We start from the raw sequence: 15,167 nt of genomic DNA, 5'->3' as shown, positions 1-15,167 counted from the left end.
CAAATTGTCTTGGGAAAACCAGATCTCCACAAACAACATAATTGAATTAGATTATTATCTTATACCATGTATAAAATACCTTTAATGAACTAAAGACTTAAATATAAAACCTAAAACTGACAAAATCCAAGGGGAAGCCTGGGACATTGGTCAATGATATTTGTTAGTGCAACCCCAACAGCAAAGAAGACAAAAGCAAAATTAACAAGTTGGACTACATTAAACTAAAAAGCTTCTGCACATAAAAAGAAACAATCAACAGATAAAAAAGACAATCTCCATATTGGGATAATATATTTTTAAAGCATATATATGATAAGAAGTGAATATCCAGAATATATAAGGAACACATACAATTCAATAACAATAAAGTTAAATAACCCAGTGAAAAAATGAACATAGGATCTAAAAAACATTTTTCCAAAGAAGACATAGAAGTAACTCATACCTAAGGTTATTTGAGTGTGAGTCTTCTGGGCTGCTCTTCTTACTTTGGCCTAAGTAAACTCAAAATAATATTTTGGGCCTCAGTCTCTTCCTTTTAGGTTTACATTTCTGGCCCTGTGAGCAGGATTCAGAGTAACTTCACCCAACCACCGAGTGTTTCTCTCTGAAAGTGATACTCAGTATCAGCATAAACACATTGCATTCTCTCCATCTTCAGAAGTCCCATCAAGTATTTCAAGTGAGTGCTCCTGAATTTAGATCTCCCACTCGGTGATTGAAGGTCTAGACTTTATTTGGGATATTTTCCAACTCCTTTTTTTCCACCCTCAAGAGTGAAAACTTCTGTCTTTGTCTTTGGACAAAAGATTTGGGTAAGGAGATCTGCAGAGAACTGCCTTTTTCTGCCTCTGTCTCACAGCAGGAGGCTGAGGTCAAAGGATTGATACTTAGGCACTGTTGGTTTTGTTTCACATAGGATGCTTTTTACATTGCAGCTGTTTCCTATTACTTAAAAATTTAGACTTAGTTTTTTTATTTGTGACTAATTCCTATTAGTTCCTAATTGAAACATGGTAAGTTCTCTTGCCCCAAAGAAAGCAGGGTGAATTCTCTTTCCCCAAAGAAAAGAGGTGATTTGCTCACTCTGACCCATTTGAGTGCTCCAAGTGACTGCAGACTTTACAGACGTATCTAAGTCATTACCCATGATGTGACACAGCCTCATAGGGACCTTACCACCAGAAGAACATTTTTAAGGGACAGCTTTTCTGTTCCTCCAGATGGGTATGAGGAATTGACCCACAACCCCCATAATATGAGCACTCTGCTGTCACTTGGCACTTAGAGGCAGTCCAAGACACATATGCAAGTGATTTATGATGCTTGGGTAAAACCTAGAAGAGTGACACTCATAAGCAGCACACTTTTTACCCACACATATTCCTGGGTTTGGCCACTTTTGAAAAGCTCCTAGATTATAAAAAAAAAAAAAAAAAAAAAAAAAAAAAAAAAAAAATCAAGCTTCAAAATTCGAGCAGTCTTTTACAAAACAACCACCATTAGAAACACCAGCTAGATTTATGCATGACACTTATGGGACAACTCCTTGTAAATATCTAGAAGAGTGGACTCACCTAACCCAAAATAGTCATAAGCAACAATGACCAAAATTATGATCTTTTGAAATGACTAACAATTTATTTACTGGCACAATTGGAAAAAGACAGTTTGAATAGGAAAGTTACTTCTAATGGCACTTAAAAACTTCTAAAAGAAATCTTGAGAGAAAAAAATTACATTCAAGGCATAAGTAAAAGGATATTTGAAAGTATTTAAACATATTTTCAAGACTTTCTTTTTATTGCCTCCAACTGCTCCTTCTTCTTCTATCCTTGTGATCTGAACTCATTCCTTTCTGCTTGCTCCTTTGGCTCTCATATATATCTTAGGCAGATTTTTTTTCCTTTTGGAATTTCACAATGCACACGTTTTCTTCTTTTAGAAAGAAACTCTAAAAGAATTTGGAATAAGTAAACAAATGAAAAAACTATAGAATGAGAATAACACCACTGAGATTAAAAAAATGCAGATCCAACAAATTGTTTTCTAAGCCAGAGGTAATGAATGGAATTGATGATTTATTGGCCATTTATCAGACAATACCCTTTAAATGCCCTGCACTCCTTTGGAAATGTAAATCTTTTAATGTACTTGAAATGCTAACATCCAGGGAATTAGCTAAGCCGCATTCCATCTTAAATAAGATTTGAAACAAGTTAAAATATGTCAAATGCTCAAAAGGCCTGCTTTGGATTTCCTGCAGGATTAAAAACAACAACAACAACAGCAAGGACAAAACGGCAGATCACTTGAGGTCAGGAGTTTGAGACCAGCCTGGTCAACATGGTGAAACCCCATCTCTATTAAAAATACAAAAATTAGCCGGGCATGGTGGCACAGGCCTGTAATCCCAGCTACTGGGGAGGCTGAGGCAGGAAAATCGCTTGAACCCGGGAGGCAGAGGTTGCAATGAGCTGAGATTGTGCTACTGCACTCCAGCCTGGGCGACAGAGTGAGACTCTGTATAAAAAATAAAAATAAAAATAAAAACTATATTATTTGTAATCCAATCTATGTAAAGTGTCAGGTGGTAACTTTTTGTCCATTGTCACTGCCATGTGTACTTGCTGAGCTATTCTTTATTTTTTATTGCAATTATGTTATCTGTTAATTTATAAAGGCCAGGCACGGTGGCACAAGCCTGTAATCCCAGCACTTTGGGATGCCAAGGCGGGCAGATCACTTCAAGTCAGGAGTTTGAGACCAGCCTGGCCAGCGTGGTGAAACCCCATCTCTACTAAAAATACAAAAATTAGCCAGGCATGATGGCAGGTGCCCGTGGTCCCAGCTGCTCGGGAGGCTGAGGCAGGAGAATTGCTTGGACCTGGGAGGAGGATGTTACAGTGAGCAGAGATCACACCACTGCACTCCAGCCTGGACAGCGGAGTGAAACTGTCTCAAAAATAAATAAGTAAATAAGGATAAAGTGAGATGAGGTCTCTCTCTGTTGCCCAGATGGGAGTGCAGTGGCACAATCAAGACTCACTGAAGCGTCAACCTCCCAGGCTCAAGCCATCCTCTCGTCTCAGCCTCTTGGGTGGCTGGGACTGTGGGTGCACACCACCACCCTCTGCTAACTTATTTTTTATGGAGATAGAGATCTCACTATGTTGCCCAGGCTGGGAATTTGTTCTTGAAGAAGCAAGGTAGATGGTGAGAGTATCCTTGTTCATGGCACAGAGGGGACTCGGTTGAGACAGGATTGCTGACTCACCATCCCTTTCCATTCCTCCCTTAATTCTCATCAGAGTTCCCACGTCAGACGAGATGGTGTCTTCTGCACAGCTGGACTTCAACCTGCAGGCTCTTCTGGGACAGCTCAGCCAGGATGACTTGTGCAAGTTCAAGTCTCTGATCAGGACCGTCTCCCTGGGAAATGAGCTGCAAAAGATCCCCCAGACATAGGTAGACAAGGCTGATGGGAAGCAACTGGCAGAAATCATCACCAGCCATTGCCACAGCTACTGGATGAAGATAGAGACCATCCAGGTCTTTGAAAAGATGCACCGAGCGGATCTGTCTGAGAAAGTAAAGGATGAACTCAGAGAAGACACTTTGAAATCAAGCCTGTATCATTAGGGAAAACAGGGAAAGAAGAGCCAAAACCTATAGACCTGAAACAAATGCTGGGGCGTTTCGAAGCAGAAGCACTAGAGTTTATAGAAACGGAGGAAGATGTCACCAGCCTAAGAGAAGCTAAAGAAGTCTTGAAAGGAGAAAAGCCAGGTAAAGAGGATAGGTACAGGAGTATATTGAAGACGAAGTTCTGGCAAATGTGGAAAACCTGGCCTGGAGACCTCAAAGTGGTCCATATTATGGCTCAGAGATACAAGATGCTGATCCCGTTCAGCAACCCCAGGGTGCTTCCCGGGCCCTGCCCACACACGGTGGTGCTGCATGGTCCTGCGGGCCTTGGGAAAACCACGCTGGCCAAGAAATTAATGCTGGACTGGGCAGAGGACAACCTCAGCCAGAAATTTAGATAGGCTTTCTACCTCACCTGCAAGGAGCTCATCTGCCTGGGCCCGTGCAGTTTTGCAGAGCTGGTCTTCAGGAACTGGCCTGAATTGCAGGATGACATTCCAAACATCCTAGCCCAAGCACAGAAAATCCTGTTCGTGGTCGACGGCTTTGATGAGCTGGGAGCCCCACCTGGGGCACTGATCTAGGACATCTGTGGGGACTGGGAGAAGCAGAAGCCGGTGCCGGTCTTCTTGGGGAGGTTACTGAAGAGGAAGATTTTACCCAGGGCCGCCGTGCTGGTCACCACGTGGCCTGCGGGCCCTGAGAGACCTCCGGCTGTTGGTGGAGCGGCCGATCTATGTAAGGGTGGAGGAGTTCCTGGAGAAGGACAGGAGGGCATATTTCCTGAGACACTTTGGAGACGAGGACCAAGCCATGTGTGCCTTTGAGCTGATGAGAAGAAACGCGGCCCTGTTCCAGCCTGTCTCGGCACCCATGGTGTGCTGGATCATGTGCATGAGTCTGAAGCTGCAGAGGTTAGAAGGGGAAGGACCCGCCCCACCCGCACGGGGCTGTTCCTGCGCTTCCTTTGCGGCCGGTTCCCGCAGGGCGCACAGCTCTGGGGCGTGCTGCGGGCGCTGAGCCTCCTGGCGGCACAGGGCCTGTGGGCGCAGATGTCAGTGTTCCGTGGAGAGGACTTGGCGAGGCTCGGGGTGCAGGAGTTCAACATCCGCCCGTCCCTGGACAGAGACATCCTCCGCCAGGACATAGTCTCTAAAGGCTGCTATTCCTACATCCACCTCAGCTTCCAGCAGTTTTTCACTGTGCTGTTCCACGCCCTGGAGAAGGAGGAGGAGGAGGAGGAGGAGGACAAGGACGGCCACGCCTGGGACAATGGAGACGTGCAGAAGCTGTTTTCTAGAGAAGAAAGACTCAAGAACCCCGACCTGATCCAAGCAAGACACTTCTTATTCGGCTTCGCCAACGAGAAGAAAGCCAAGGAGTTGGAGACCACTTTGGGCTGCCTGATGTCACCGGAGATCAAAAAGGAATTACTGTGATGAGAGATAAATTGTGAAAAGGTTGGACACTCAACAATGATGAACCCGAAGGAGCTCTTGTGCTGTCTGTACGAGTCTCAGGAGGAGGAGCTGGTGAAGGGAGTGATGGCTCCGTTCAAAGAAATATCCCTGCACTTAAATGCAGTAGACATTATGCTGTTTTCAATCTGCCTCAAGCATTGTCGAAACTTGCAGAAAATGCCACTGCAGGCAGCAAAGGCAAAGCTCCCAGAGAATGTCACTGTGTCTGAATCAGATGCTGAAGTTGAGAGATCCCAGGATGATCAACACATGCTTCCTTTCTGGACCGACCTTTGTTCCATATTTGGCTCAAATAAGGATCTGATCATTCTAGAAATCAATAATAGCTTTCTTGGTGCCACATTAGTAAGGATCCTGTGTGAACAAATAGCTTCTGACACCTGTCGTCTCCAGAGAGTGATGTTCAAAAACATTTCACCAGCTGATGCTTATCGGAACCTCTGCCTAGCTCTTTGAGGTCACAAGACTGTAAGATATCTGACCCTTCAAGGCAATGACCAGAATGATATGCTTCCTGCATTGTGTAAGGTCTTGAGACACTCAAAATGTAACCTGCAATATCTCGGGTTGGTGTCTTTTTCCACCACCACTTAGCAATGGGCTGATCTCTCCTTGGCCCTTGAAGTCAACCAGTCCCTGACATGTGTAAACCTCTCTCACAATGAGCTCTTGGATGAGGGTGCCAAGTTGCTGTACACAACTTTGAGACACCCAAAATGCTTCCTGCCGAGGTTGTTGTTGGAAAACTGTCACTTTATAGAAGGCAATTGCAAGAACTTTGCTGCTGTTTTGGTTGTCAGCGGGGAGCTGACACACCTGTGCTTGGCCAAGAACCCCCCACTCGGGGATACATGGGTGATGTTTCTGTGTAAGGGTTTGAGTTACCCCCATTGTAAACTACAGACCCTGGTGCTGTGGGACTGCGACATAACTAGCAATGGCTGCTGTTATCTCGCAGAGCTTCTCCAAGAAAAATCAAGCCTAATGTGCTTGGATCTGGGACTGAATCACATAGGAGTTACTGGAGTGAAGCTCCTATGTGAGGCTTTGAAGAAACCACTGTGTAACTTGAGATGTCTGTGGTTGTGGGGGTGTTCCATCCCTCTGTTCAGTTGTGAGGACCTCTGCTCTGTGCTCAGCTGCAACCACAGCCTCGTCGTTCTGGACCTGAGCCAGAATCCCTTGGGGTCTAGTGGAGTAAAGATGCTGTTTGAAACCTTGACACATCCAAATTGCACCCTCCAGACACTCAGGTTGAAAATAGATGACTTTAATGTTGAACTCGATAAGCTGCTGGAAGAAATAGAAGAAAACAACCCACAACTGCCTGCTGATAACTGAGAAACATGATCCTTTGGGGGGGAAAAAAGGCTTTCTTTTCATTACTTCATTATCTGAATCCCCCCAGAGTCATTCATTCTCAATGAAGTCATGGATTTTCCAGGTGTTGGTGAACAGCCTGTGACTCTTCCCCTCCCCTATCCCCACTTCTCAGGGATAATGAGTTGATTGCTGGGCTAGGTGTTTTAGCCATGGTTCTGCCTCTGTTTTACATAGAATGTGCGCATGTCCTTAACCTTGTTATGTATGAAATATACGTATCACGGGTATATTGAGAGAAATAAAGGTGAGAGCATTCACAAAAAAGAAAAAAAAAAAAAAAAAAAAAAGAAAAGAAAAAAAAGCAACTCTATCTTTTGGCTAGAATTCCGTACTTTCATTGCCAACACCCAGAATCCATTTCTGGTCAGAAAACCAATCCCATTTGTATAATTTTTGAACTTTTGGGATACTCATTTGTTATTGATTATTTTCCCTTCCATTGATCCTTTTTGATTTCCTGGCTTTTTTCATCTATGGGGCATATGGAGAGTTTGGACCTTCATACTTGGGTGCTCACTGAGAAGCATAGGTGCTAGAAGATATGACCAGATGGAAATGTGAGTTGTAATCCACTTAGAGCTGGTGAAACTTCCCTTTTTTGAGCTATCTTATCAGTGGTTCTGAATCTTGTGAAGGCTGCTTTGCACTTCTTTGGAATGTGAAAGGAAAATAAATTTTGAAACCCCAAACTCACTAAGCAAAAGGGAAACGTCAAGCAGGGAACTGGGTCATGCAAACATGCCTCCAACTTTTGTTCCTAGATGAGATGGATACAAAGATGAAAAGGTACATACCTCCTTCACATTTTGCCCACAAGGAAATTTTTTTGTGAGCCCCAAGATCTTTAGCCTAAAGCATTTCTGATAAAGTTCACCATGGCAATGTAAATTGATAGCTTATTTTCACAGGTATGGAGGACATAGGACAGAACTAAAAGTCGTCCCTCTACCCACCTAAGACAAACACATATCTTATTATTTTTCTCTATTCTATTGTCTATGTTATCTTATGTAAAAAGGCAGATTCACTGAGCCAGACAAATACATAAATGACTATTTTCCCCTCCTACCCTCTCACATGAAAATTGTGTATTTCTCAATATTCCACCCTTTCCCCTTTAAATTTGAAGCCCTCATAATCATCTTGGAAGAAAGGCATATACCAGTGTCCCAGGCATACATACTTAACTTTGGGAAATAAACCTCTTTGAGGTTATTTCTTTGATTGACATCTGGTAACAACAGAGGGATCCTGAGTGAAGGTTGCCAAGTCCTGCAGCAGCTTTCCTATTGAGGCAGAAGAATAGGGGCTGGGGACAGGGAACCTAAGGACTTCCTAGAACTAAATCAAGCAGAAAAACCACAACTTTCTAAGACCAAGTAAATAACTTTGTAGCTCAACTTCAGCTATGGCAGGAAACATCCGCTTCATTTGCATAGGGTGTACATCAAGTATATAAGTTTATAAGCTCACTTCATCCTCTTAATTTGTATAGGGTGTACACCAAGTAAATAACTTTGAAACTTCACTGCAGCCTCTTCATTTACATAGGGTGTATACCAAGTTAAAAATGGGAAACCTATAAAGGATATTTAAATGTCAGAAAATTCCATAACTGGGTCCTTGAGCCACTTGCTCGGGCCACTCCCACCCTGTAAAGTGTTCTTTGGTTTTCAATAAATCTCTGCTTTTGTTTCTCATTTTTTCCAAGATTTCTTTGTACATTTTGTCCAATTCTTTGTTCAAAACACCAGGAACCTGGACACCCCCGACTGGTAACATATTTTGGTGAGCCAGCCAGGCAGTAAGCCCAAAGTTTAGGGTTTATTTTTCTCCTTTTTCTTTCTCCTCCATACAGGGGAATCTCTGTCTCTCTTTTCCTTTCCAACTCAGGACCCTTGGTGGGCAGCACCTAAACATGGAGGTAACTGCCGGTTTCTGGCCAGGGCCATGCTCCTGTGTTGCCTGAAGGCCGAGGAGTGAATGGAGAAGTTGCTCTGCCCAGAAAGGGGAAGAACTCTTTTCTATCTTTTCTGTTTGTGGTTCCTGATCTCTACATGTGGCACAGCTCTTCGGGGTGAACCTGCATGCATTTCAGGTCATTTAAATCTTCTCATGTTATGCTAAATTCTTCCCTTCCTCTACTTGACTGGCTAAGTGTTGCGGGAAGTCAGGGACCCCAAATGGAGGGACTGGCTGGAGCCACGGCAGGGGAACATAAATTGTGAAGATTTCACCTTAATATGGACATTTATCAGTTCCCAAATAATACTTTTATAATTTCTTATGCCTGTCTTTACTTTAATGTCTTAATCCTGTTATCTTCGTAAGCTGAGGATGTATGTCACCTCAGGACCACTGTGATAATTGTGTTAACTGTACAAATTGACTGTAAAACATGTGTGTTTGAACAATATGAAATCAGTGCACCTTGAAAAAGAACAGAATAACAGCGATTTTTATGGAACAAGGGAAGACAACCATAAGGTCTGACTGCCTGCAGGGTCGGGCAAAAAGAGCCATATTTTTCTTCTTGCAGAAAGCCTATAAACGAATGTGCAAGTAGGAAAGATATGGCTAAATTCTTTTCCTAGCAAGGAATATTAGTATTAATACCCTGGGAAAGGAATGCATTCCTGGGGGGAGGTCTATAAACAGCTGCTCTGGGAATGTCTGTCTTGTGCAATTGAGATAAGGACTGAGATACACCCTGGTCTCCTGCAGAACCCTCAGGTTTACTATGGTGGGGAAAAACTCTGCCTTGGTAAATTTGTGGTCAGACTGGTTCTCTGTTCTTGAACCCTGTTTTCTGTTGTTTTAGATGTTTATCAAGACAATACGTGCACTGCTGAACATAGACCCTTATCAGTGGTTCTGCTTTTGCCCTTTGCCCTGTGATCTTTGTTGGACCCTTATCAGTGGTTCTGCTTTTGACCTTTGTCCTGTTCCCTCAGAAGCATGTGATCTTTGTTAGACCCTTATTAGTGGTTCTTCTTTCTGCCCTTTGAAGCATGCGATCTTTGTACCTACTCCTTGTTCTTACACGCCCTCCCCTTTTAAACCCTTAATAAAAACTTGCTGGTCTGAGACTCAGGTGGGCATCACGGGGGTGTGATATCACCCCCAGTGGCCCAGCTGTAAAATTCCTCTCTTTGTACTGTCTCCTTTTATTTCTCTGCTGGCCAACACTTATGGAAAATAGAAAGAACCTATGTTGAAATATTGGGAGCGGGTTCCCCCAATAGCTAAGAAAAAAAAAACCCACTCAGCCTCCAGTTCCTATCATTACAGTTCATGGCTATCACTGTAGTCAAACGGGATTCATGGGAAAGCATGGTCTTATCAAATTATAAGGATGCTAAAAGTCAGGGATGATACCCAGGAACCAAAGGAAAGCTCATAGAAAGTCATTGCCTCTGAAGGGAAAACAAAAGAAGTGGTACCGGTGCCCACATAAAGTCAGAGATTTCTGACACTGTAATACTGGACCCCAAAAGGGGATGCCCCCGGGGGATCAAACTCCAGACCTTCACCTCTCCAAAGGGGATGCCCTAGGTAGAGATTCTGAGGTCCAATACTAAGCCCTTTCTAAAATTTTCTCTCACAGATCACAATGGCAACTTTGGTAATGCTGTTTGGCACCAATACTGTTTGGAATCTGGAGTTTGCTGTTGAATGGAAAAGTGAGATGAAGTTGCATGTATCTAGGCTTTTGTGCTGCTCTTCTAAGCAAAGGACTGACCTCAGTGTTCTTTGGAGTCTGAGGAGGTTTGGCCTTTAAAATTAAAACTGCCATGGGAACTGCTTTACCCAAAACTTTGGTTCACAGCCTTCATTGGATTAGCTATTGGGGCAAACAAAGTAAAAGCAGTGAGCTTGTATTACTATCTCATGGCTAGAGTTACGAGGTAAAAGCTGTTAGATCTTCATCTGTGTGTGTGTATACATGTCTAGATGTGTTTACTTGTAAGTATACTTATTTTTATATATTGCATCTACCAAATTGGCTTGTAAGTAAAAGAGCACTCATAAATGAAATAAGTCTAGGCAATTTTCAAGTTCATGTGACTTAAGTATAACTTTACTAAATGAGCTGGTTTCAAAATTATTGGTAAAATTAAAATAGAAATGCCTTGAGAATTGGCAGCATAAATTTTTTTCTGTATTTTATATTGGTCTCTGCCAGATATTTTGAGGTGTTAGGGTTTAGCATAGAAGGTTATAAAACTCTAAATCTAACCAAAACAAAATGATCTTGGTTTGCATGCCTTCATTTTTTTTTTTTTTTTTTGACAAATGAGAGTAATTTAATGTTTTTAGCTAAATCTTCTGAGTTACTGGCAAAAATACCTATGTATTTAACTCTGAGCCTCTTAGGTTTAGGTGAGCATCTGATGTTCTTTGGCTATTAATAACATGGTTAACAAGAAAATAACTTTAAATGATAGTGTCTAATATCTCAGTTTACAGAAGCAATCTAGATAAACTGTTAAAAATAAAATAATTGAGTACAGTGAATGGGATAAAAGTTTTAGGTAAACTTTTTCTGTAAATTAAAATCTTAAAATTATTTTTGATGCTCATTTAATATCTGGATCATTTCCAATTAAGAAAGGGCTCTGATATGAGGAACAATGTTTCTAAAATTGTAAAATTGTTCTTATCTATAAATGCTTATATCTAATAGTTCAGGATTTCTTGCTTTTTAGGGTTTCACTAAAGTTTTAGGTTACTAATGATAAGAATTCTAGTTAACACACAATTCTGTATGCAAAATGTGCCATAAAGTGTTGTGTTATTAGTGAGAAAAAGAATATTTTTTCTAATTCAGAAATTATTTAAAAGTTAGTTCAAATTACAGATTTGAAAAGGTTATTTATGAAACAATGTAGTAAGGAACCAGTAAGTAAGGGAGAAAGATGTGGAAAAACTTTAGATAATAAAATATTCTTTAAAATCTGATAGAGTTGGAGAAATTTGGCTAATTAACATTTTCATAGTTAAAGCTTTTAGTCTTGATTAAAGTCAAATAAAAAATACTGTAAGGAAATGTATTAGCAGTTTTTTAATACAGTTAAGCATAAAGCCAGATAGAGTGTGGAGTCAAATTTCACATATGTGCTTGCATTCTTTCACACTATGTTCACTGTTTTTTTTTTGTTGTTGTTTTGTTTTGTTTTTGAGATGGAGTCTTGCTCTGTCACCCAAGCTGGAGTGCAGTGGCGTGATCTCGGCTCACTGCAAGCTGAGCCTCCCAGGTTCGTGCCATTCTCCTGACTCAGCTTCCCCAGCAGCAGGGACTACAGGTGCACGCTGCCATGTCTGACTAATTTTTTTGTATTTTTAGTAGAGACGGGGTTTCACCATATTAGCCAGGATGGTCTCGATCTCCTGACCTTGTGATCTGCCTGCCTCAGCCTCCCAAAGTGCTGGGATTACAGGCATGAGCCAACATGTCCAGCCTATGTTCACTGTTTTGCACAGATAATGCTGACACTGGAGTACTTATTGGTCACATGCCCAGAGTGAATTTCTTGATTTCACAGGATGTATGGTGATATTGGTCGACTTAAGAATATTGAATTGTGTATCAGGAATAAAATATTCATTATGTGGGTTTGAGGGGCCCTGGGTAACAGTGTAAGCCCCAAGGTAGATTGAGTAAAAAAAAAAAATTAGGATTGGTTTCCTGTTTATTTGTTTTTGCTTCTGACTTTTATTCATTTGTTCCTTATTCTCCTCTGGGTTTTGCTTGTGTATCCATATATATAAAACAATGGGTTTTTTGTTTTGTTTTTTTGTTTTGTTTTGTTTTGTTTTGTTTTTTGTTTCTGGTGGAAGGCTTCTCTTTGGTTCTGTGAATAGTTATTTTCTTTCTTATTCATTTCTAGCAAGTCATCATTTGTTCCATTTATCTGGAATTCCTAGGCTACCTTTGTCATGCCTGCTGGAATTGATGGAGCACATCAGCTTTTTAACCTTAAAGTAACTCTTTGGATAATAGGCTCCCTGATACTTTAAGTGTATTGAGTATACTTTCACAAAGAGAATTTGAGTCATGTATCTTTCTCTGTGCCTAATTTCTCCAAAATTTTAGAACTATTTGTGAATGTTCTTAATACATGGCAATGTGTTTGTTTGCATAGTGTCAAGCAGGATCATTAGGGCTGCTCAAGGAAGGAGAACCCAGAAACCTGACATGCTGGCAAAGAGGTAAGAATTTCTTACCAGTTGGACTTCTGGCCTCCTCTCTCTCTATGTGAACTGGTCGAATGAATGGTAAAAATTACTGTTTATCTCCTCCGTAAAGTTTTGATTAATGTGAAAAGAAATTCTGAGGCTAGTCTTAAGCTGCAGCAAATTTGGTATATCTTGTGCTATAAATTTGTCTTTATGTGTTGTTCTGTCATGAAGAGGAGTACCTTAGGAGAGAATACGGTCTTAGGACCCCATAAGCTCACTGCTCAATATGACACAGCAGGCTAGTCAGTAACAAACTTTGCTGCAGTTTGCTGAAACAAAAATAACTGGATGAGGTCTCCATCTTGCTTTATGTCCCTGGGAGCTTGACCCTGTAACCATGTGGAAGTACTTTCTCTTAGTCTCTGCCATCCAGAAGAAGAATTTTGGGGTTCATGTCATAACTCTAAAAATTTTCTTGAGTATTTGGAAGCCTTTACAAGCTTATAATGAACTACTCTAGACTCCTTCTCTGAAGGGCAGTGGAGAATGCCCAATGTTGCCGATCTGCAGCTGGGGCTTTGCCATTTTATAGTGGTGGCCCAGATTCAATCCTGGCTTGGGGAATGAGTCCTTTCTGGTTTGATATCTGTGTGACCTTTACCATTTGTTTGTTCTCTTCCCCTCCATGAACTATCTTGAAATTGTCTTTCTCTGAGCACCTTGGACAGTACCTTAGGTAACATTCAAAAGACAGAAGTATTGGCCACTTAGTGTGGCTAAAGTTGGGAAATAAGAGACTTAAAAGAGTTCTTTTTTTTAGAGTGCCATGGTTAAAATCAGCTTAATTAAAAGTGGATATCCAAGCTACAGGTATATTTAAAAAGGTTTTTTCTCTTCTTGGATCTTGTTTTTCTGGAAAATTTTTTTCTCAGTCAACGGAATTACTTTCTTCCATTTTGTCTTGTCACTCTTAATGCACACATTTGAGGCCCTGAGATAACTTCTGGTAGCCTGGGACTCCTTGAGAAAAACAGATGAGGTGCCATAAGACCTCATTTTGGAAAAACCTCTGTTTTCTCTGTTTTCCTCATGAAACTCTAGTATTTAAAAGTGGATAGATCCCTCTCAAAATCTAAGGCTCTGTCCTGTTTTGCATTGTGTTATCAGATGATCTTGAGTTTGTTGGGGAGTATCCGAAATTACTTCTCATTATGAGAGAGCTTTGGTGTGTAATAATTAGGTAGGAAATACACTTTTGAGGATGGCTAATGGCAGTTATCTGGGTGATACTCAGCTCTTTGCACATTTGGATTAGAGAAGCATGATCTTGACCACCTAGAAATTATGGAAATTTCTCCAATCCCCTCTGAGAGAGAAGACTCCCAGGGAAGATGGCTGATTCCCTCTTTTTGTGATCCAGTATCTGGTATAAAAATGGGACCCTTAATTTTGGGGATCTGTATTTTACTTCCAGCTGTGCCTTCTTATTAAACCCTAGAAACTACATGTTTTCCTAGCCCTGTTTTTTGAAGGGCTCTACCCTGAGGCCAGTAATCCAATCAAAAAACAGGCAAATGAAAAATCTTACAACTATTAGATCTTCTGTCTGTGTAGTTATAGGTGTGTTATGTGTGTAATGTTTATATAAAAGAGCTCTAATTAATTGGCTTAAAGAAAAATAAGCATATTTGATCTAAATCAAATATTTTGAAAGAAAAATAAAAGCTGTAATGACTTTTAGTTCACATGATTTTAGTAATCTTTGGGAATTAAAAACAGCTTTAAAACTTACTGGTAAAATAAAGACATTTGATCTAAAGTAGGCTGGTCGAATATTAAGTTTGCTAAATGCTTTAAGGTCATAAACTGCTTCTTTGGGCTTTTAAAAATTGTTTGACTTGCCTGCTTTACAGCTACATAAGGACTGAAGACATGTGAACTTGGCCACGCCCCTAGCTATGATGGAAATAGTGAGAACTTATAGGCACCTAGTACATATTTAAAATGACTTACCAGGTTTTTCACCAAAATTAAAAGATAATGAAAGATTTTTCTTTGCCTTTTGAATAAACTACCAAAAAAAAAAAAAAAGCAGGGTGGGGGGGAAGATAAGAGACAGATTGTTTGGAAAACTAAGTCTTCCCTCTATCAATTAGTAAAGGTTTTGACCTTTTAAAATTTTTGAGTCATCATTTTGGCTAAATGAATGACTTATTGTAATATGAAATTCAATGTCATAATATCAAGTGTTTTAAACATTTAACATATTTGATAGTCTTCCCAAAATCAAATTTCAGCTTCAAAATTGTCTTTTCTGACCTCTAACTTTGAGATGCTACAGAAGTCCCCTGAGCATGAAAAAAGAGTTAAACAAGATTATTTGACACTTTTAATTATGTGGAAACATTGTTAAAATAAAAAAATAATGTTTAATTTTCTTCAGGTTATATTTTTGTGAATGATATTAAT

General features: G+C 40.6%; 1 protein-coding gene across 1 annotated transcript; it reads left to right on the top strand.

Annotated features, from left to right (window-relative positions):
* The first annotated feature begins 3,333 nt into the window (after positions 1-3,333).
* NLRP2B (NLR family pyrin domain containing 2B) lies at positions 3,334-6,527 on the top strand. The gene has a single exon (NM_001319967.1). It carries the CDS (start codon positions 3,334-3,336, stop codon positions 3,469-3,471), a length of 138 nt encoding a protein of 45 aa, NP_001306896.1. The 3' UTR covers positions 3,472-6,527.
* The last annotated feature ends 8,640 nt before the right edge of the window (positions 6,528-15,167 follow it).

The sequence above is a fragment of the Homo sapiens genome, chromosome X, assembly GCF_000001405.40.
Source record: "Homo sapiens chromosome X, GRCh38.p14 Primary Assembly".
NCBI lineage: Eukaryota > Metazoa > Chordata > Mammalia > Primates > Hominidae > Homo > Homo sapiens.
This window is presented reverse-complemented; position numbering and strand designations above follow the sequence as displayed.